The sequence below is a fragment of the Homo sapiens genome, chromosome 11, assembly GCF_000001405.40.
Source record: "Homo sapiens chromosome 11, GRCh38.p14 Primary Assembly".
NCBI lineage: Eukaryota > Metazoa > Chordata > Mammalia > Primates > Hominidae > Homo > Homo sapiens.
Window position 1 is genome coordinate 123,400,826 of NC_000011.10, and position 23,227 is coordinate 123,424,052.

General features: G+C 42.4%; 1 protein-coding gene across 12 annotated transcripts in view, besides 4 other annotated features; it reads left to right on the forward strand.

Moving 5' to 3' along the window:
• Positions 1 to 23,227, forward strand: part of GRAMD1B (GRAM domain containing 1B) — a 269,346-nt gene that overhangs the window by 42,404 nt on the left and 203,715 nt on the right. For 4 of the 12 annotated variants that reach the window (XM_047427323.1, XM_006718892.4, XM_011542926.3 and 1 more), the window contains exon 1: positions 19,196 to 19,518. The exons of the other annotated variants lie outside the window; for them this stretch is intronic. Coding sequence is in view for 3 of the 4 variants with exons in the window: in XM_006718892.4 (XP_006718955.1) it covers positions 19,445 to 19,518 (74 nt within the window). In the remaining variant the exon portion in view is untranslated. Of the gene's footprint in view, positions 1 to 19,195; positions 19,519 to 23,227 lie in introns of those variants that run through there. 12 annotated transcript variants of the gene reach the window in all.
• Positions 4,389 to 4,905: an enhancer, noted in NCBI's record as "NANOG hESC enhancer chr11:123275922-123276438 (GRCh37/hg19 assembly coordinates)". NCBI's record gives its function as "activates a minimal SCP1, AML or CMV promoter by ChIP-STARR-seq in primed H9 embryonic stem cells {active_cell/tissue: H9 hESC(primed)}" and the evidence as "EXISTENCE:reporter gene assay evidence [ECO:0000049][PMID:30033119]".
• Positions 4,708 to 4,797: an enhancer, noted in NCBI's record as "active region_5682". NCBI's record gives its function as "activates an Ori minimal core promoter by ATAC-STARR-seq in GM12878 lymphoblastoid cells {active_cell/tissue: GM12878}" and the evidence as "EXISTENCE:reporter gene assay evidence [ECO:0000049][PMID:35858748]".
• Positions 6,656 to 7,564: an enhancer, noted in NCBI's record as "OCT4-NANOG hESC enhancer chr11:123278189-123279097 (GRCh37/hg19 assembly coordinates)". NCBI's record gives its function as "activates a minimal SCP1, AML or CMV promoter by ChIP-STARR-seq in primed H9 embryonic stem cells {active_cell/tissue: H9 hESC(primed)}" and the evidence as "EXISTENCE:reporter gene assay evidence [ECO:0000049][PMID:30033119]".
• Positions 8,585 to 8,764: an enhancer, noted in NCBI's record as "active region_5683". NCBI's record gives its function as "activates an Ori minimal core promoter by ATAC-STARR-seq in GM12878 lymphoblastoid cells {active_cell/tissue: GM12878}" and the evidence as "EXISTENCE:reporter gene assay evidence [ECO:0000049][PMID:35858748]".

Genomic DNA, 23,227 nt, shown 5'->3' on the forward strand with positions numbered 1-23,227 from the left:
ATTACTCCAGTATTTTATTGATTGATTTCTTTGCTGAGCAGGGAGCTGGGTGCTATTACTACCCTCATTTTATAGATGAAAAAGCAAAAATGTAGAGGGATGCAACAACTTCTCCAAGTTTATTGAACTAATAAGGGAAGAAGCTAGTACCTGAACTCAGAAGGTCTGAAAACAGAGCATGCTCTCTCTCTCTAACAATATGCCAGTCATTATTGAAAGCAATTTATATATTTTAACTCATTAAGCCCCTAAACAACCATATGAAGTAGGTTCTCTTATTTCCACTTTCTAGATGAAGAGATGAAGGCAGAATGAGGTTTGGTAACTTGCCCACTGTCATGCAGATATGATGAAATTGTTTCAACAGTAACGTGAAGGATGGATTCAGCTGTAACCCCAAATGGCACAGGATTCTCCTACTTTGCCCCTCCCTCTGTCCCAAGAAGTTAAAGTAAGAAGAGCGGAGGGTATTTGGCTATTCTGCTAGAAGCATCCCGGTGACTCCTGGCATGTGTTGTGCTCCCAGGTGTCACAGCCTGTTGCGTCCGCTCTGGACCTCATCCCCACAGTCACTCAGTAGGCAGGCATGGGCTGTTGGCCCCGTGCAGAGCACATGCTCTTAACCTCTGGACCCTACTGCCTCCCACGGGAGTTTGCTCATCCTGATGGCCTCCCTCACACAAAATGGCCCCAGTGACTGATGGAAACAGCAAGTGTTGCTGTAAGAGGCTCCTCCATCTGGAGACTGGAAGAACCAAGGACAGGCAAGCCGCCAGACTAATCTGATGAAGATGGCTTTGGGGAAAGCCAGGTTTAATATTTAGTGTGGTGGCAGGGGTGGGGGAAGGAAGACGGAATTGAGAGCCTGGACAGCATAGTGAGACCCTGTCTCTACCAAAAAATAAGTAAATAAATAAAAACAAAAACAAAGAAATTAGCCAGGGGTGGTGGCATGTGCCGGCAGTCCCAGCTACTCAGAAAGCTGAGGTGAAAGGATAGCTTGAGCCTGGGAGGTTGAGGCTGCAGTGAGCCGTGGTCTCATCACTCACTCCAGCCTGGGTGACAGAGCAAGACCCTGTCTTAAAAAAAAGAAAAGAAAAGAATGAATGGAGGAGTCAGTGTGTCCATTGGTTGTTACACTGGGGTGAGCATGAGACAGCCAGAAGGCTTGTGAAGCTACCCGCTCTGCATCCACCTTCATCACTAATGTCCCCAAAAGGCCACGTTCTTTTCAGGTTGGAGTACAAGGGTGCAATCTTGGCTCACTGCAACCTCCGCTTCCCTGGTTCAAGCGATTCTCCTGCCTCAGCCTCCCAAGTAGCTGGGCTTACAGGTGTGTGCCACCACACCCAGCTAATTTTTGTATTTTTAGTAGAGACAGGGTTTCACCATGTTGGCCAGGCTGGTCTCAATCTCCTGACCTCAGGTGACCTGCCCGCCTCGGCCTCCCCAAAGTGCTGGGATTACAGGTACGAGCCACCACGCCCGGCCAAGGACCATGTTCTTGCATTCTGCTTTCTGGTTTATGTCTGATTAGGGGTGTCCAAATAGCCAGATAGATAATAATAACAAAGGTCGTCATCATCATTGTTATTTTTATTAGCCAGCCTGTATTGAGTACGAGGTGTGTGTCAGAGTCTATGCTAAAAACTCCGAGGGGCTGTTTCATTTAATTGTTACAACAGCAAGGCAGGCATTCTTATTATCTCCACTTAGTAAACAGGGAAAATGGGATTCGACTGGTTAGCTGAATTTCCCAGCATCACAGTAAGTGACAGAGTGAGGATTCAAGGCCAGGTCTACCTGGTTCTGCACCTGGAACCACTTCAGACTTTCTGCTCTCTTTCCTCCTCATTGCCTCCCAAGTGACCTCACAATTGTAACCCTTGTAGCTTTCCAGATTTGGAATCCCGGAATCCCAATGTTCTAGCTCCGTGAGGAAGTAAAGGTGGTTTTAATACTCTCGCTCTCTCTCTTTTATTATTATTATTATTTATTATAGTTTACACTGTTGGTGGGTGTGTAAATTATTTCCACCATTGTGGAAGACAGTGTGGCGATTCCTCAAGGATCTAGAACTAGAAATACCATTTGACCCAGCAATCCCATTACTGGGTATATATACCCAAAGGATTAAAAATCTTTTTTTTTTTTAAACCATCTTACTGTAAAATAAAACATAGATACGGGAAAGAGTACACATGACACAGAACTCTGCTAGCTTCTTCAGAAGCCCTCTGTGGACCCTGATCCAAACACAGACTCTTTCCTCCCCAAAGGCAATCATTCCTCTGGCTCTTAAATAAATCATTTCCTGGGCCGGGCACGGAGGCTCACGCCTGTAATCCCAGCACTTTGGGAGGCCGAGGCTGGTGGATCACTTGAGGTCAGGAGTTTAAGACCAGCCTGACCAACATGGTGAAACCCTGTCTCTACTAAAATTACAAAAAAATTAGCCAGGCGTGATGGTGCATGCCTGTAGTCCCAGCTACTCAGGAGGCTGAGGCAGGAGAATTGTTTGAACACAGGAGATGGAGGTTGCAGTGAGCTGAGATCATGCCATTGCACTCCAGCCTGGGCAACAAGAGCTAAACTCAGTCTCAAAATAATGATGATGATGATGATAATAATAATAATAATAATAATAATAATAATAATAATAATAATTTCGTCTCTTGTTGTTAGGCTTTTTTTGTTTTTTGTTTTAGTTTTTTGTTTGTTTGTAAAATTGTTTTAAGACAGAGTCTTACTCCATCACCCAGGCTGGAGTGCAGTGGCAGCAATCTCGGCTCACTACAACCTCTGCCTCCCGGGTTCAAGCAGTTCTCCTGCCTCAGCCTCCCGAGTAGCTGGGATTACAGGCATGCACAACCACGCTCAGCTAATTTTTGTATTTTTAGTAGAGAGGGGGTTTCGCTACGTTGGTGAGGCTAGTCTCGAACTCCTGACCTCAGGTGATCTGCCCGCCTTGGCCTCCCAAAGTGCTGGGATTACAGACGTGAGCCACCGCGCCCGGCCTGCTTGTCATTAGTTTTATCACCCAACCGTGACTCTCCTGGCATTTTAGCCTAGTCTTTGCCACTTAGAAAAAGAAAAAATTGACGCATCTTGTAAGTTGCTTTAACTCTACAAGTTCACCTTACGTGTCTTTCTTTTTGTTAACCTTATTTTTTTGAAAGAACCTAGGACATTTGACTTACAGTGTTTCTCACTGTTTGGAACTTGCTGATTTCATCCTCAGAGTGCAGTTTGACATGTTCTCTGTCCCTTTTATTCCTTGCAAATTGGTTGCTGAATTCAGAAGTTTTATCTGCCTAGGTCTAATCTTTTTGGCAGGATTGCACACAATGTTATATTCTCTCATTGAGAAGCACGTAATGCCTGATTGTCTCTCTTTTTGTGGCGTGAGCAGTGATTACTGTTCCATGTGTAGATTCATCAATTCACTAGATGTTGCAAAACAGTAATCTTCTATCATTTCTTTTTTATTAATTTGTGGGAATACTTTTCAAAGAGGTACCTCTCTTCAGCAAGTATCTGATTCCTCACTATTGTGGTCGATATGGGAAAGCAAGAACAAATGCTTGATTCATTTCCTTTATTTGACTGTTTTCAATAGAATAAATTAGTTTCTGAACAACTGAAAAGACCATTGAAGGTAACTGATCAATTGTTGTTTTTAAAATCTAATCTCACATTTTAAAATTGAGATAAATGAGAGCCAGAGATGTTAAGCACTTAAGATCACACAGCACTTTGGTGGCAGAGCTAGGGTTAGGGTAGTACTCTTCTGCCTCCCAACTTCATTCTAATCTTCTCCTTTTGGAGCAGAACCCCAGACCTGGAACTCTAGTGTCAAAAATCATTCATGAGAAAATCTGAAATGGGTGATAAAAATTCAAAGCATTACTCAACTTCGTCTGCTGTTTCATGGCCTTCACTGCGCAGCCTTGCAGGCAAGTCGATACTCATCGTTAAGAGACAAACGCAGCCTGCAGCTTTTGCAGTGCTCATGAGAGGGGCTCAGCTGCCAACCTTAGAAATTCCGCCTGTTGTCAGGGGGTCGTGGGAATGTGCCCAGGTTGCTGTAGGGAGGTTTTCAGCCCTGGCTACCACAAAGCACTCTCTTGCCAAATCCTGTCTTGCTGATTTTCAGCAGGAAAATGGGAAGTCAGAGAAGAAAGCTTCAACCTGTCAGTCAGAAGGGAAATAGCCAAGAAACTGTCTTCTCACCATATTAACTATGTTAGCAAGAGACAGAGAGAGAGAGAGAGGGAGAGAATTTGGTAGAAGTTGGGGGAAGAGATGGTGGAGAAAATTATCAAACAGTTAAAAAGAAGGGAGAGTATGTTGTAATCATGTGTGCATGTGTGTGTGTGTGTGTGTGTGTGTGTGAAAGAGAGAGAGAGAGAGACTGCCTACAGCCTTAAGACTGTCTAGCAGTCCATCTGTTCACACCTACTTATGTAGCTGGTGACCTCAGACCCAACCACTTGTCCTGCTCTGACCCTTCTCTGCTCTTCATCTGGCTGCCACCATCCTCCCCCCTCGAAGGCTCCCAGGGTAAGGGGAGAGTGACGGCAGTGGAGAGGGGCCAGCGGGAGATAAAGACTTGCTATTTTATGTAGAGATGCAAATCCCTGCTAACTTGTGGGTTAGAGAACCAGTCAAGGACGGGCACAAGGCTGCTGCGGATAACTTGGGTCTGTGTTTGAGATGCACTGTTGTGGTTACCCTGGCTGGAAATGAGAGTTGCTTGGACTGGACTCTTGCAAGTTAGATGAAACTTGACAGTGGGAGATACGGCCTGTACCAAGTCAGAGAATTAGGAACTTTGGGCCAACAGGTCCCCAAAAGCTGATCACTCTCGTTCTCTTTATGGGCAGAAGATTCTGGAGGACTTTAGCCCTGTACAAGGGGAGAGGGCATAGTAGGCAAGATGCTATAGTGAAGTGTTTTGAAATTTAAGGATGTAAAATGAATTTAGGGAGTTATGAGCACAATATTATGAAAAATTAAATAGAATATACTGTACATCAGACCAGGTTGCTTTACATGGAGAAGGTGAGTGTTGTTTCTTAAATTCTTTTTCAGTATTTTGTGTGCACACTTGTTTGCATGTGCATGTATATATACTGGGTTACATCGTGCTTCTTATTGTGGGTCACAGTCAAAAACTGAACATTATTCCTTTTTTTTTTTTTTTTGAGACAGAGTCTTGCTCTGTTGCCCAGGCTGGAGTGCAGTGATGCGATCTCAGCTCTCTGCAACCTCTGCCTCCCGGGTTCAAATGATTTCTGGCTAATTTTTGAATTTTGAGTAGAGACGGGTTTTCACTATGTTGGCCAGACTGGTCTCGAACTCCTGACTTCAAGTGATCCTCCTAAAGTTCTGGGATTACAGGTGTGAGCTACTGTACCCAGCCCATTGTTGCTTTTTTTTTTTTGAGACGGAGTCTCACTCTGTCACCCAGGCTGGAGTGCAGTGGCACGATCTCAGCTCACTGCAACCTCCACCGACTGGGTTCAAGTGATTCTCCCGCCTCAGCCTCCCGAGTAGCTGGGACTACAGGCATGTGCCACCACACCCAGCTAATGTTGGTATTTTTAGTAGAGACGGGGTTTCACCATATTGTCCAGGCTGGTCTCGAACTCCTGACCTTGTGATCCACCTGCCTTGGCCTCCCACAGTGCTGGGATTACAGGTGTGAGCCACTCTGCCGGGCCCATTGTTGTTTTTTAAAGAAATTGTTAGGGGTGAAGAATTGGATTCACTCTGGGCTCTGCCACTACATAGCTCTGTGATCTATGGAGTGTTATTGTTTAACTTCTCTGAGCTTCATTTTACTCATTTATGAAGTAAATGAATGACAATGAAGACTTCCAGCCCTCACATTTTATATTTTTTAAGATAAATGAGAATTCAACTCTCTTTTAAGGGCTCTCAAGGGAGGAGATGACATTTTCTCCAAACAAGGACTAACTAGTACCAATATACAATAATTGTCATCAGAAACACCTCTTTATCTTCAGGCTCAGTTCATTCATTCGTTCATGCACCAAATATATATCAATGTGCCAGACACTGTTTCAGGTGCTGGGAAGTCAACAGTGGAATAAAACATGCAGATCCCTGCACCTGTGGTATTTACCCTAAAACTCCCTGTGGCAGTTTAGGTTTCTTTTTCACTTACCACATGTTTAAAATGAAACAAAAATGAAAGCCTTCTGTAGGCTTGAGAGAATGGTTATTGTTTTTTCAATAATTGCTTTGTATCTTCAGTTTGTCTTTCCATAAAATGGGAATGTAATCATGGAATGCTAGCAATACAAAATTTGAAGGCTTCTACAGGTCTATAACACTCAGAAAGGTGAGCTGATCTGAAAATCCCAAACAAATGGAAAGCTGAACATTCCAGACTGGAAATTATTACTTCCTTTGAATTTTTTTTTTTTCCCGGGGAACTCTCGAAACCACAGACCATTCACTGAAAGGCAGTTCACATTAAAAGCTTCCGTTTTGGCTTCTTGACATATCCGTCTGCTCTCAGGAAACGGATGAGAAACTTCCTCAGGGAACTTTGGGAAGGGGCTGGCATGTTTCTGGCCCACAGACCCAGGACTCTCTTGTTTGGATCAGGTGAAACCTGCAGGCTCTTGGCTTCCAGGGTGCTTAAATTGAAAGCCTTAGGAAAGCTGTGGGGACTTGGACATCTGGAATCATCCTGGCCACCAGAGGGCATTAGGAACCTGTTGGTCACACCACCAGGTGATCTGCCATTTCTGTCTGGGTTATAGCTTGGCAGTTTTACACGGGGTTAGTTTCATGACCTTTTCAGAGCATGAGGGGCCAAATCAGAGTCCCAGAATGCTGAAGAAAATCAAATTGACAGGCTTAGGCTTATCTCTGTCATCTCCCCAAATTAAACGTGCAGGTGCATTCATTGATTAACAGGTAACCACTGAATGCTGCTTGTGTACTGCCTGTAAACTAAGCTCTGCAAATACAACCTTCAAAAAAGCAAAGCCTCAGCTCCCCAGGGGCTCACAGTCTAGGCTTTTCCATAGACAATAGGCAAATGGCTCATTGCCCACTAAGGGAACTCCACAGGGTCCTGAATCTAAAGTGATGAGGTTTTTTGTTATGATGAGGTGAAGCCTCTGGGGGTTAGGATCATCATCTTGACACTTTCAAACGAGATAATGTAGATGTCTGTGAATGGGATTAGGAAAGTGGCCTTTTGGAGCCTTTAGCATTGTAGCTAAACTTTAGAACACCAGTGTGGGGCTGACTGTGTAGCCTAATGGTAAATCCTAAGCCAGGAGTCACTGTCCCACTGTGTAAACTTGACGGAATAATCAGCTTTTGTGGACTTAACGCTTTCTCAGCCACTCTCAGAAAAGGTCAGGACTCTACGACTGTCACACAATAGAAAATGAAGTGAAATGGAAAGGAATTCTAACATGGCATTACACTGGTGGAGAAAACCAGTTGGGATTTTTCTGGCCCTTCGTTATGTTTTTACAGCTATTTGTTTGCATGGCTGATAACCCCCCTCACCCTGCATTGTTCTTACTTTGTGTAGACACAGGATCTAGGTTATGTTAAAACGAGTACTGGAACGCAGAAGTCACTAATTGCCCAACCAAAGGATCAGAATTCTATTTTATTTTTCACAGTAACTTGGATGAGTTGATGTGTAAATGGATGGCATGTTACAGCTCACTGTTTTCTAAGAAAACAGCAGAATTGAATGAAGATAAATTCTGAGACTCCCTCCCTTTCCTCCACAGCCCTTGAGCCAGAGGGTGTTGTCCATAGGAAAGACTGAAGAAGTTTGGCAAGACTACCTATGTGCTTAGGCACTCATGGGTAGTGAGCATTCAGACATAAGTGGAATTCACTAGGATGTACTGGGACTCTGGTAGGACAATTTGAATTATCTCTAAATTGCGCTAAGCATGAATTCATGCAGGATAACTCTGCCTCCTAACGCTGATGCTGACCCAGCCTGTCAATATTTACATTTTTGTGTTTTTCTAAGCTAGACCTCTGAAGCTGAAAGCAGAATGCTGCTTCTACCCTCCAGATAAAGTACAATATCTATTGTTTCAGAAGACTAGATGCCATAGGACAAGAATTGAGCTGTTGTATTACACTTGCCCTCTTTTTTATGTTATTATTATTTACCCAGAGACAACGCTGATTAATCTTTACCAAGAACAATAGGAAAAGAAATATGATTACATAGTTTGTTTTTTTAGGTAGTAAAAAGACTTTGACCTGGAATTAAGGAGACTTAGATTCTCAACGCAGTTCTTTGTTTTATCACATAACTGCTGTGCCAGTGCTTTTGATAATTATGGTAATTTGGAAGGAGCACACCTGGCTGGAAATCCTGCCTTTGCCTCTTACTATGCGACTCATGCAAATTGTATAATTTCTCTGGTCCTCTTTTCTCATCTACAAAGTAGCATCCCACCTATCCCACTTCCCTTATTGAGTGTTATATGTGTAGCAGTGTTTTAATCTCAAAGGGCTGTGTACATACAGACGTTGGCGTTTATGTTGGTAACTGTGCCGCAGTCATCTCATCTGATCTCTAAAATGCCCCACTCTTGCTCCCCTGACACTGCTGAGAACTTGCATATCTTAGCTGGGACACTTCTGGTGTCTGTCTTTCCTGCCCTTCGCTGTCTTGAAGCCCAAACAGAAGTTTCTGAGAACGAGACTGCAATTGTCAATTATTCGTCTTTGGTTTTTAAAATGTGCCCACCATCCAGTCCCCTGGGTGCTCGTTACCACAGCACAGCCTAATTACCTGTAGACAGATGAGACATGCTTGAAACTCTGCGACTTCTGCCTGCAGCCAGCATGGGTTCCTGCAAACAAGGGCCTGTGAAAAATAAAGAAGGGCTTTATTTCTGCTTTCAAAGTCTGTGACTTAGGTGCCTGAAAATATAGTTCAAACAAACTAACAACAAAACCCACAACAAGCAGCTCAAAGCAAGAGGCTTTAGAACATTTAAAGAAAGTGTTCTTTCTCCAAAGGTGTAGTGAGTGCTCGCCTCACGCTTTCCTTTAGTGGCGAACAATAGTTCCGTAACTTAGCCTCACTGAGGTCCAATTAGTCCAAATTGTGGTGGAGTTGGACTTATGGAGTCACAAGATCAGATTTTGGAAATGTGTTCTCCATCTCTGCCTTGTGCCTTTCCCTTTCTGACCCCCTGTGCCAGACAGGCTGATCCTAATCAGCACAGGGAGGCCTGCAGGCGGCTGAGACTATGAGGTTTATGATTATGAGGTCAGGGACCAGCAACTCAGGACTCATAGAAGAGAAGATTTTGGGACAAGAAAAAAGGAGCTTATAAAAGCAAAAACAAAAACAAAAACAAAAAAACAGAAACAAAAACAAACAAAAAACAAACAAACAAAAAAACCAGATGCCAAAAAAAAAAGTGTGTGTGTTGGGGAATCTTACTGAGAAGAGAGAGAAAGAAACAGAGGAGGAAGGGGAAGTGAAAATGTTATGATGGGGTGGAAGGGAGGAAGATAGGATCTGGAGAGAAGCAGAAGATTTCTTGCCCCAAACTCCTGAGAGAGAGCAAAAACAAATACTTTTGAGCAAAATCAGTTGTCCCCAGATGTCCTTAGATGCTCCATCGGTGACTCCGATACTGCCAGGGAGTCCCACCTGCAGAATCACGGTTCTCTGCCTACACAAGACCCTGGAACCAGTCCCCTTCTGTTTGTCCCTGCTCCACCCGCCAGTAGCACCTGCAGACCACATCCCCTAAGAGCAGTGCAGCCATGTCTTCTTCTTGAGAGCTGGAAGAGCACATGCTTCCTGAGGGTTTGAGGAAAGACAAAGAAGATCTAGAAAGAAGATGCTGGCAAAGAGAACTTCCAGATCACTTTACGTAGGGAGAGGCTGTGCTAGAGTGAAGAGAGCAGACAGTGTGTCATTAGAAGACATGAGATCAGGCCCACACTCTGCCACTTAATTACCAAGTGACTTCTAGGCAAGCTTTATTTTATTTATTTATATTTACCTGTAAGACACCTCTCCATCTTCATGCCTACCTAATGGTTTGAGAAAATGGATGAAACCCCCAAAGTGCCTTGTATACCTCTGATAGCACATCTCACTGCCTCATGGTTAAATATTTGAATAACTTATCTTCTTTTTTTTTTTTTAAGACGGAGTCTTGCTCTGTCACCCAGGCTGGAGTGCAGTGGCATGATCTCGGCTCACTGCAAGCTCCACCTCCCGGGTTCATGCCATTCTCCTGCCTCAGCCTCCCGAGTAGCTGGGACTATAGGCGCCCGCCACCACACCCGGCTAATTTTTTGTATATTTAGTAGAGACGGTATTTCACCGTGTTAGCCAGGATGGTCTCGATCTCCTGATCTCGTGATCCGCCCCCCTCAGCCTCCCAAAGTGCTGGGATTACAGGTGTGAGCCACCGCACCCGGCAACTTATCTTCTTTAGTAGGTTATGTGTTCATTGAGGGCAGGATGCTTACAGATTTATCACCTACCATGGTGCCTGGCATATAGCAGGTATAATAAATATCTGCAACAGATAGCTAATAATTAAATAAATGAGGAAGATGATGGCTTTGGGAATCCTGGTAGGTAGAGCTCTCGAAATCATAATGTCAGCTCTGGAACAAATCTGGTATTATTTAGGTTTGATGTAGCAGTTGTGGGCTTGGTATTATTGGCTTAAGTTACATTCCCCCAGAGATTTAGAAATACCCAATGACCACTTGCACATTCCTGATTTTTTCATTTTCAATTAAGGAATTAATTTAATTTTGCCATTTTATCATTATTATTTTTTGAGGCAGGGTCTTGCTCTGTCACACAGGCTGGAGTGCAGAACATGGCTCACTGCAGCCTTGACTTCCAGGGCTTCAGTGATCCTCCCACCTCAGCCTCTCTACTAGCTGGGACTACAGGTGTGCACCACCATGCTTGGGTAATTTTTGTATTTTTTTGGTAGAGATGGGGTTTTGCCATATTGTCAGGCTGGTCTTGAACTCCTGGGCTCAAGCAATCCGCCTGCCTCACCCTCCAATTTTGATGTTTTTTAGGTTAAAAATATTTTATTATTTTGAAAACAATTATTATGAACAAGTGAAATCTATAATGATACTACTTAATACAACATAGAAAATTATGTTATATATAAATACATGTGTTGTATATATATGTAATACATATACATACACAGAGATACATAATGTGGTAAGTGTATGTGTATTTTTATTCCACTTCCAGCAAATGTATGCAAAAGTTATCATAAACTAGTTAATATACAGTGGATATATGTTTATATTTGTAATTAGTTGCATTTCTTTTTTAGTGGAAATATAACAATTTCCTTAGTCATTTTGTTATTTGGTGTTTTGATTGTTGTCAACTTTTCACTTAAATAAACATTTTCTCTTGCAGAATAAATAATAATTATTGCTGTTAAAGAAAAACTAAAGCCATTTGTTGTGTGCCTATCATGTGCAAGGCACTGTACTTGACACTTTACCTGTGGTGTATCAGTTAATGTTCACAATGCATGATGTGCATATTATTTTTCCTCTTTCATGCAGAAAGAGACTAAGCCCAGAGAAGTCAGTAGTTCAGCTAAATCACACAAGCCAGTGAATACAGAGTACAGAGCCAGGATTCATGCTCAGGTCTGCCTAACTCCAATGCCCCCACTCCTCCAAACTACAACACTCTTAGGAGCAGGATTGTAAGGTCAAAAGATATCACTAGTTTTATGGTTCTAACTACATTTTCCCACATTGCTTTCCAAAAATGTTGTGCTGATATAGAAAACCCAGCCCTGAAAACATAACATTTTCTCCATAATTTTGTCTGATTTCATATTTTAAGCTAAGAAACCCTAAAGACCCATATGCCCTCTCTTCATTTTTTAATAAAAAAAAACTAAAGTTTTTATTTTTGAGATGGAGTTTTGCTCTTGTGGCCCAGGCTGGAGTGCAGTGGCGCGATCTCGGCTTACTGCAACGTCTACCTCCTGGGTTCAAGTGATTCTCCTGTCTCAGCCTCCCGAGTAGCTGGGAATACAGGCACATGTCATCACGCCCGGCTAATTTTTGTATTTTTAGTAGCGATGGGGTTTCATCATATTGGTCAGGCTGGTCTCGAACTCCTGACTTCAGGAAATCCATCCACCTCGGCCTCCCAAAGTGCTGGGATTACAGGCGTGAGCCACCGCACCCAGCCTGCACTCTCTTTTTTACTTTACAAGTGCTGCACTTAGAGCCAAATTCATCTTGAGCTTGAGTATTACCTCCCTGGAATGGACCTCGATTATATCACAGTCTGCCCTGAGCTCACCTGGTCCTGGACTCTCCCTCTTATTCAAAGGTGGATTTCCTGCTCTCCAAACCAACAATGAAATTTCCACCCCTGCCTTCCCTCTTATCATTCCCTTTATCTCTCTGAGAAATGGAGCAAAGCATATTCTGTCCATGGGAGAGATTAGGGGCTCTCTGCTTTCTTTGACCTCTTTGTATTTCCTTCATTGCATTAATGGCAGTGCTGGGGTAACGTGTATCGGAGAGAGAACTGATCAATAAACATCAGGAAGTGTAATTATGGGGTAAGGAGGCATTGGGAAACGTCTGTAAAAATTCAGGGTCCATTTGCCCATATTTTTTTTTTAATGGAGGCATGAATTTAATGTTCCACATGGGAAGGAACCAGAGGAACTACATGGGGTTTACTTCTATTTGTTCCCTCTCTGAAGAGCTGCAGGATACATGAGGTACCTTCAAATCCTTCAACCCATAGGTCTTCGCCTGAGGAGTAGGCAGATCCTGCACAGATAAATGTTCAGAGGTCATCCAGGACCGCAGTCCCACCCCCACCCCAGCTTCCAAGAAGAGGGGCTGCACAGAGCAAGCTCCCGATGGGAGGCAGTTCTCTGACCTTCACTGACTCATGCTTTTCAATTGCATCTTCTGTAGCCCTTGCGCAAGAATGACCTTGGGTGGCTTAGTAGTCAGATAGGACTGTATCTGCAGAACCAAGTCAGAAAAAAGTGGTTGTTCTGAGAAGACGCAGCTCAAGTCATCATTTATTCAAGGTTGTCTAATGAAAACACGTGGCTATTATCTGTACAGTGGATGATCTCAGAAGGACTTAGAAGAAACTGTTAGTGGTCTTAGAAATCCATCATCATCATCATTTTTTTTTTTTTTTGAGACAGAGTCTTGCTCTGTTGCCCAGGCTGCAATGAAGTGGCAGGATCTTGGCTCACTGCAACCTCCGCCTCCCAGGTTCAAACAATTCTCCTGCCTCAGCTTCCTGAGTAGCTGGGACTACAGGTGCGTACCACCATGCCTGGCTAATTTTTGTATTTTTAGTAGAGACAGGGTTTTGCCATGTTAGCCAGGCTGGTGTTGAACTCCTGACCTCAGGTGATCCACCCGCTTTGGCCTCCCAAAGTGTTGGGATTACAGGCATGAGCCACCTAGTCCAGCCCAATCATCATCATCATTATAATAATAATTATTATTCTTACTAGTATTTATTGAGCACTTATTGTGTGCCAGGGACAGTGTTACGTACTCTGCACCACATCTCACTTAATTCTTCCAACAACCTTCTGTGATAGTACCAGTATTATTATGTTTTTATAGATGAATGCTTAGCTCCCTCTCTTATTGATATGCTTTGTTCAAATGTAATTTTCCTTATGGGGCTTACTCTGACTACCCTATGTCATCCCTATCCCCCTTGTCTTTGCATAGCTCTCGCCACCTTCCAACCTGTTTTTTTATTTACTTAATCATTATGTCCATTGCTTAGCTCCCACCCTCTACCCATGAGAATGTTTGCTCCCCAAGGAGAAAGATTTTGCTGTGTTTTGTTCAGAACAGTGTCTGATTCATATAACTACTCAGTAAACTTATTCTAAGGATAAATGAACAGATGAGTAAACCACGATTGAGATAATGAGCAAATCTCTTAATGTCCCTCAATAACTGGATAGTGGAGCAGGGATGGAGATGAGTCTCGCTCTAGAGCCTTGGGGTTTCGCCACCCCACAACATTGACTCTCTTTCAGAAGATATTCTCACCTACACACATGCCCTTTGAAAGGTAGTTCATATTTGCTAAAACACATTCAGAATGGCCTACTGGCGTCTTGGAGAAGCAGGTTTGTATGAAAGGCCCCTAAGGCTGCCAGGCTGCCTTTTCTTTTTTTTCTTTTTTCTTTTCTTTTTCTTTCTTTTTTTTTTTTTTTTTTTTTTTTTTGAGACAGAGTCTGGCTCTGTCGCCAGGCTGGAGTGCAGTGGCGCGATCTTGGATCACTGCAACCTCCGCCAACCAGGTTCAAGCGATTCTCTTGCCTTAGCTTCCCGAGTAGCTGGGACTACAGGTGTGCACCACCACACCCAGCTAATTTTTGTATTTTCAGTAGAGACAGGGTTTCACCGTGTTTGCCAGGATGGTCTCGATTTCTTGATCTCATGATCCGCCTGCCTCGGCCTCCCAAAGTGCTGGGATTACAGGCGTGAGCCACCGTGACCAGCCAAGGCTGCCTTTTCTTTGGGCCCCATTTATCTGAAATTCCAAAGGCTTGTCTAGGTCTTGTGGTGACATTGCTATCTTTTCAGTCAATGCACAGCAGAGCCAGGGGGTGCTTGGTCTTGGGATGAAGCTCTGTATTCTCGGTGGCCTTCAGGACGCCTTAGGTCTTGGTCAGGTGAAGATCATTTTTATCATTAAGGTCTTTGATCTGGGTAGCATGCAATTCTCTGCCAGGGTAAATAAATGTCGTTAGGTTCTCAGACACTCTTTTCCAAGCCACTCACTTCTTTCTGCAATTCTTTGTGTGTTAAAAAGATTTAATAGCGACTCTCCTGTTAGTCTACTGTTTAATGGACTAACTTTGTCATTATGCCTCATAGGCAAAATGGTGACTTTGAAACTTGCTATTAGTGTTTTCTATTAAAATATAGTCACTATTACTTTTTGGACCAATATGCATCTTGGGAGTTCTAGGTATCATGCACATACACACAGCCTTTTTTCAAAAACCACATATCTGCCATTGCAGTAGCTCAGCCAACAGTTAAATTGGTATCTTATTACTGAGGTTTCTTTAGTTTTTGTCTATTGCATCAGGCTCTTGTAGGTTTTAGAAATAAATAAAAATGGTTTTAGCTTGGGTTGAAAGAGGATTTTCCCCTAGAACTGATTTCACTATAATGTATAGCTTAATACAAAACCTAGCATGCTGAATACAGTTAGTCTTCAAAGTGGATTAGGGTTGGTGTGCTTTGGGCATTTCCAAGGCATTAGTTACAGTACATTGAATTAGCTATACCAGTTGCTTCTCCTGTAATGAAAGGTGTAGAAAGATCCCCTGCTTGAATAGAAGGCCAAAATGCCATCTTTTAACTTCTATTGGGTGTGATGGAGATGATAACTGAATGGGCAAAACCACTCCTGTTGTAAAGGAGCAATGAAGCATTCTCTAGTTCCTTTAGAAAAGGCAAGTACAGAAATCTGAGATGCTGACCAGCCCAAGAGTTCTATTCATACTAGTGATAATAATGATATGATAAAGATAATGATCATAATTATACCAATTGTTACCATTTTCTACTCCCCGCTACTCCACAGGTCTTAAAATAAATAAACCTCTATTTTAAGCTATTAACTTGACCTCAGTCTTTATTCATGTTTTTCTGTGTGTATGAGTAGGGAGCTACTGAAATGATAATTGGATTTCATAAATGCAGCCTGTGTGGCACTGTTTAGAAAAGGTAGAGTTTTATAGTGCCCTATGGTGGCTGTGTGATGAGTCCCTGTAGCCAGGCATAACTTGTTGCCTGAATGGATGTCATTACATTAGTGATGAAAGTGTGATGACTATACACATGATTGCAGACATAAAAATGAAGTAACCATGGACTTTTTTTTTAGCATGTGCTATGTGCTAGTGACTGAGCTAAGTGCTTTATGTGTATTATCTGTTTATCTTCCACAATAAGCCCTTGAGATGGGCACTATTATTATTAATCTGATTTTTCACATTGGTTAACTGAGGCACTGAGAGATGAATGAACTTGCTAATAAGTGGTGAATCCAGGATTTGAACTCAGATTTTCTAAATCCAGAACCCTTGTAATTCACTTATGGGAGACGAAGTAACTATCAATGAAGTGCAAGGGTACATTAATCTCAAACAGGTCATGTGACGGATATTAAGAATGTGTAGGCAGGGTGCAGTGGCTTAAGCCTGTAATCCCAGCACTTTCGGAGGCCGAGATGGGCGGACCACGAGGTCGGGAGTTCAAGACCATTCTGGCCAACATGGTGAAACCCCGTCTCTACTAAAAATACAAAAATTAGCTGGACGTGGTGGTGTGTGCCTGTAATCCCAGCTACTCAGGGGACTGAGGCAGGAGAATCACTTTAACCTGGGAGGCAGAGGTTGCGGTGAGCTGAGATCGCGCCATTGCACTCTAGCCTGGCTGACAGAGTGAGACTCCGTTTCAAAGAAAAAAGAAAAAAAGAATGTGTAATGGTATTTTGTACAGGCACATGCAATCATTGTGTAGTATAGGTGCATTCAGGACTTATCAAATCAGGTACTAACTTAGGACTGAGATGTTGACATGAAAGTCTGAAATCACTCCACACTGGGGGAGACCAAGCAAATCACGTGAGAACATAAGCTCTGGCATCAGCATTGATGTTTACAAATTATACAAATGTAGTAAATGATCACACATACCCCCAAAATATGCACACCTATCATATTTCAATGAAACAAACAGGCTGGGCGCAATGGCCCATGCCTGTAATCCCAGCACTTTGGGAGGCCAAGAGGGGCGGGTCACTTGAGGTCAGGAGTTCGAGACCAGCCTGGACAACATGGAGAAACCCTGTCTGCACGAAAAATATAAAAATGAGTCTGGTGTGGTAGTGTGTGCCTATAATTCCAGCTACTCGGGAGGCTGAGTATAAGATCACTTGAACATAGGAGGTGGAGGTTGCAGTGAGCAACCTGTAGCTGTGGCTACAGGCACATGCCTCTATGCCTGGCTAATTTTTAAAATTATTTTTTGTAGAGATCAGGTCTTGCTATGTTGCCCAGGCTGGTCTCAAACTCCTGTCCTCAAGCAGCCCTCCCACCTTGGCCTCCCGAAGTGCTGGGATTATAGGAATGAACCACTATGCCCTAACTATTTTATATATAAAATGTGGAAGCTGGCTTTCTTTCTCTAAGGTACTTTTCTACTTTGAAACTCAAATGGAATAAACAGACATTTTGGGGAAATAAAATGATGGCTTAATGTCAGCCTTCTAATCAGGACTTGCAGACATCCTTCAAACGGAAAACCGTGGAAGAGGATGGTTATTTTTCTGGAGAGCTGGGCAGCACGAGAACACAAGTCTGTCAGGGTTTCCCAAGGGGAGTTGGAAGATTTGCCCATCTGGAGATCTTTGAAAGAGAGTAGGATGAAATCCCCTCTCTCAGGGGTGGTTAAGCTGGGGGCCTTACCAGTAGGAGAAAGAGGATTGACTGAACTCCGATTCAGGGTATTTTCTTAAGAGTTGATAGATAAGCTGTTTTTTCCAAGTACATTCCTGTTCCTTCATTTAATTGCTCCCCAGGGATTCATAGTCCAAACACCTTTACCTAAAAAACCTGAACTTTAGTTAATCAGGAGTGAATGTTCTGGGCAAAGGGCATTAGAGTCCCAGGTTTCTTCTCCTGAGACCTCCTCTGTGGTGTTGGCTTAGTGTGATATGATAATCTAAGGAATATTGTGACCACAGTCAGAGCTGCCCCTAGGAAAATGGCAGGGCTGAAGCAGATGATATTCTTCAGTTTTCTTCTCTCCAGAAGGGCATTGTGGCAGAAGAACAATTTCTAGAGACTTCCAGGCTGGGAAATAATTGCACTAGGTGCCTCTTCAAACCTCCCAGCCCTGTTCCTTGTCCTCCCCTGTCCCTCCACCATCATTTTTTCATTCATAGACACTTACTGAGCATAAATGTAAGTGCTCAGTCTGGAGCAGTGAGCTTGGTAACACACAACAACGATGAATGGGACATAAATCCTGTGTGGATGGCAGTCACAGTCTTAGGGTGGGAGGAACATGCACATCACTAATTGCGATACAAGGTGGGAAATGATGCATTGGAAAGAGACGTGGGTAAACTGCTTTGAGATTTTTTTATGCTAGTGAAGATTGATTAATAAATGAATATTGAGGACATTCTCAAAGGAGAACAGAAGGAAAAGACATCATAAAAGGTCAACTTGAAGAGCAAGAGCAGACAGAGACTTGCTACATATAGAACTTGGGAACTGTGGAATGCTCTAGAGTCTTAGACTTGCAAGTGACCACAGAGGTTGTCTGGTCTCAAACTCATAGTGATACTGTCCCCAACAGGTTCACTCTGGGCTTTACCACCTATACAGAAGGGAACTCATCATTTATTTTTGGATTAACAGCATCTACTGGACATGGTGGTTCATGCCTGTACTGCCAGCACTTTGGGAGGCCAAGGCTAAAGGATTGCTTGGGACCAGGAGTTCAAGACCAGCCTGGGCAACATAGCCAGACCCTGTGTCTACAAAAAATAATAAAAATTAGCCGGCTGTGGTGGCACATGTCTCTAGTCCAAGCTACTTTGTAGGCTGAGGCAGGAGGATTGCCTGAGGCCAGGAGTTCGAGGCTGCAGTAAACTATGATTGTGCTACTGCACTCCAGCCTAGGTGACAGAGACCCTGTCTCTTAAAACAACAACAACAAAACAAAACAAAAAAACCAGTGTCTGGTGCAAGAAGGGAGTCGGGGAATTTCTAAGTGTGTGTGTGTGTGTGTGTGTGTGTGTGTGTGTGTGTGTGTGTGTGTGAATGAGAAAGAGAAAGAGAGAGAGGGAGCAAGAAAAAGGAAGGAAAGCAGTAGACTAGATTTTCAGTACCCTAGTGGGCCTCTGCCTGAAGGACATATGGGGCCAATGAGTGCTGACTGGCTGTTCTTTGAGTTAAGCTGGGGAGATTTTATTATGGTGGGAATGGAACCCAGTGTCCTTGTTCCAAGGTCCAAGGTCCTGCATAGGTAGCAAACTTGCACGGAATGATCATGTGAACAAGCCTTCAAAAAGGAAGACTTTGTTCTGGCTAGTAAGATTTAAACCATTGCCTGACTACATTCTGGAAACAAGTTAGATCTACCTGTGGAAGCTAAACTAGAATCTTAAGACCATGGAAAGGCTACTTTTAAAGGTCTTTTATTGTTTACTAAGCTACTATTGCAACAGAGGATGGCAAACCTCATTTTAAGCAAATGAACATAGTGGAGACTTAGGCTCTGCAGTTTTCTCCTCTGCGGTCCAAAGTGCCTGCTTGGAGCCTTGAGTCTGCAGTCCTCGATAATGGAACCAGGAAGCACCAGGACTTACCGATCCCTGATGACTCATCTCAGATCTACAGGTAGACTTCTTAACAGGTAAGAGGTATTAAAGACACTTGGGTAAAAATGATAAAGTAGAGGTACACCTACATTATTAATGGCAAATGAGAAACTGATTATGTGGCCTGAATATGCCATGAAAAGAATATGTTGCTAATATAATAATTTATTTCAAGGGAGTTCTGCTAAATATTTGGGATAGTGCATTTTTTTTCTCTTTAATATTTAGAATTCGATACAAACTCCCAAGGAAATTTAGGGAACAGATAGAAACTGACTGAATTGAATAAGGAAACAAAGGGTATTGGTTTGCTGAATTGCAACTCCAAATTAATTAATCTCCCAAATTGCAAATCAACTACATGTCTTCACAAACGATGACAGGGAGAACTAGTCTGAATGTGTATTTTACAGAAAGTCAAAAGAGAGCAATAGTGAAGTGGAGAAAACACTGGTTTGGGATTCAGAATACCTGGGTTTAAATCTTGACCTCTGCAGTTCTTCATCTCTCTGAGCCTGAGTTTCCTCATCACTACAATGGGAAAAAATAACACTTACCTCACAGGATTATTATGAGACTTAAATAACAAAATATAGTGCCTTGCTCATGAAATCTTAGGTGAATCTGAAAATTTTCAGGACACTGAAACATTTCTAATCTATACCTGACTGAAGCAGATTTTTCATGTGGTTCAGGTCCTAGGTATCATATATTTGCTTTAAAGTGAAAGGGCAAGACCACGTAAGTTAATTGTTTACAGATATACTTTTAGTAAGTAGTGATGTTCTTGCAAAGTTGTATATCAATCAAGTAAAATGTATTAGGGTAATTTCCCACATGCAGGAATCCTGTTTATGTAAAGCAAAAAGGCCTCCCCAAATGCCAGTAACCATTCTATACCTTTTATGCAAATCTACACGTCCACATGTTGGGATTAGTTCTAGTGAGGTATTTGTGTTTGATTAACTTCTTGCTCTGTGTGGGCTTATGAGGGAATTAGATGCGCACAGAATGTTTGCCAACAAATGCAGACTGACTGTTAGGACTCCTCTGTGCAGTTTGTTTTTTAATTATTCTCAGAGGTCAAAATATTATGTCCAAAATAATACTAGAAGTCATTAAGGTAACGCTTGACTGAAAGATGTTTGATTCACATAAAACAGTTTCAGCTCCAGCTTTGTGATCTTGGTCTAAGATTTATCTTGCCCATGCCTCAGTTTCTCATCTATGAACCTGAGTGAGATAGAGTAGAAGAAGGATGTGCATGGGATGAGATAGCTAATTCTTCTTCCAGGCTATAATTCTGTCACCTGAAGAAGGTGATATTTTTACTGCTTATAAAAATTTCCAACTGTCAGACAGAATTAATATATCTTCCAGAGGTATCTGCTTACATCCAGGGAGTGGTTGAGGGCATAGAAAATGAAGTTGTTTCGTTTCCTGGAAAAGGTGACATGTTTCATGTCTATTTGGACACCCAAAGTTATGCAACAAATGACTTCCTCATTTGAGTGTGCCTTATTCAAGTTTATCACTGAATTAAAATTTCATACATTTAAAGAAACAATGTATTCTAATAAATCTTTTCTGTAAAACAAATGATTTGAATTATATGAAGGATCATGCCAGACTCAGATATTTTTTAAATCTGTATTTTCATACATCAGGATTGCTTAAAGCAAAGTAGACCTTTCCAGCTGATAGACCCTGAAAGCTACAAAAAGACGTTGTAGATTACCTAGCATAACTCATCCCTAAATCTCAATTTCAGAGTATTAAAATGCCATGTAGTCACTGGTTTGAGGCAAAAATGTGAGCATAGTGGTCCTGAGTCTCCATTTGTAGGAGAGGGATGTGGGGGGGATACAAGCAGGGGTGCTTGCCACTAGGGCCAGTTCTGGGGCGCAGTGCAGCAGGGTAGAGGAAACGGACTATTCCTGAAAAGTGGGAACATCCCACAGTGTGAATTTCATTGAGGCAAGAGTTCGCACCAAGTGCAGAATTGCATAGAGGTGAATTGTTTACAGTTACTGCCTCAAGATGCATTGTTTGCAGAAAGATAAACCTCTCAAGGTACAGTAGGAATGGTTGTCCAGAGCTGGATTACAGGGACCACCAATGAAAATCCTCCATACAGCCTAGTCGTCTTCAGCTTCTTCCTGTGTCATAAAAAGTAATTCCAATTTTTTGCTTGACATAATATGTAAAGGCTAATATTTCTCTGGTGTTTGGCAAACATGCTGTCCTATCAGAACAAACCAGGCAACTGTTTTCTAGTTTTTAAAACTTTTTCATTACATTCATTATGCTCCAAATGTTCTTTTTGGAATTCCAATAACACACCATGCTTTCTACACTTGACCTCAGCCAAAAGGCCGAGAAGCGATCAAACCATGCTTTCTTTTATGCCTCAATGCCTCTGCACATGTGGGTCTTCTGCTGGAAATATGACCCCCTTGTTCAACATGGAAAATGCCTCTGCTCACGTTCAAACCTTGACTAGGTACTGTCTTCTCTGTGAAATTCTCTCTGGATCAGGATCCTTCTCCCTCGTGTTCACTCTGCATTTGGTACACATTTCTCCTGAAGTAAATTTACCAAATTGTAGTTCTTGGACTGGTTTTCTGCTCCTTCCTCCCTTCCCCCAGATTTGAAGCAACTGAGGCCAGAGTCATCTTTGATAGGCATTCAAAAAATATTTGTAGGAAGCAATAATCATTTTTCATAAACTTTTCAGAAACTTCACACTACTTACTATTAAGGTATGCTTAGAGTCTGGGAAGATTAAATACTTTTTGATTGATTTGCTAGATTACCAGGTACACCACGAAGCTCCAATTTTCTTAGCAGATATAGGCAGAACTCCATTGTAAATGGCATAATCATACAGTCACATTTTGTTCCTCTAAAACATAACATCTACCAACAATAAGACACACACACACACACACACACACAGATTAAAAGAAAAAAAAACCTTATCCCCAACCCCAAATGTTCCCTCTCCTCTCCTTTCTTCTCCCCTCCACTCCCCTCCTCTCTCCTCTTCTCTTCTCTCTCTCCTTTTGCTCCCACTCCAACCACAAGTAACTTTTCACAGTCTAACTCTAGGCATTAGAAGGATGTTTAACACTTAGTAGATGCTCAAAAACTATTTGAAAATAGATGTCCCTCATTCTTTTTGCTGACTAATTTCTGGAAAGGGCAGTCTAATCTTGCAGCTTCCATTAATTCATTCCCTAACTACTCTTCAACCCATAGCAATCTCATTTCTTCTCTGACCACTCTACTGAAATTGTTGTCTCAGAGGTCATCAATGACCTAATTACAAAATTTAATGGAATTATCTCTGTCTTTCTTCTGCCTGACTTCATTATAGGATATAGCATCATTTATCTCTTTGAAATGTAGTATACTTTAAAAAGTATAAGTTTTAAAGCAAAGAGACCCTTGTTTAAATTTGTGTTCATCTTCTACTAGCTGTGTGAACTTGGGCAAGTCACCTTGTAAAATCTCTCATCATCTTGAAATAGGGCTTTTGATATTTATTTCTCAGAGTTGTTGCAAGAGTCAGCTGGGATTTTGTGGGTGAAGCACTCAGCACAGCGCCTGGCTTAGTGTAGCCATGCAATAAACGCCTCCTTTCTCCCCTCGGCTTCCCAGTGATTGCTGTTTCTTGGTTTTCTTCCAGAGGTTCCTCCTTTTCCTTGCCTATCTCCTCTCATTCCACATTTTTCCCCTGCC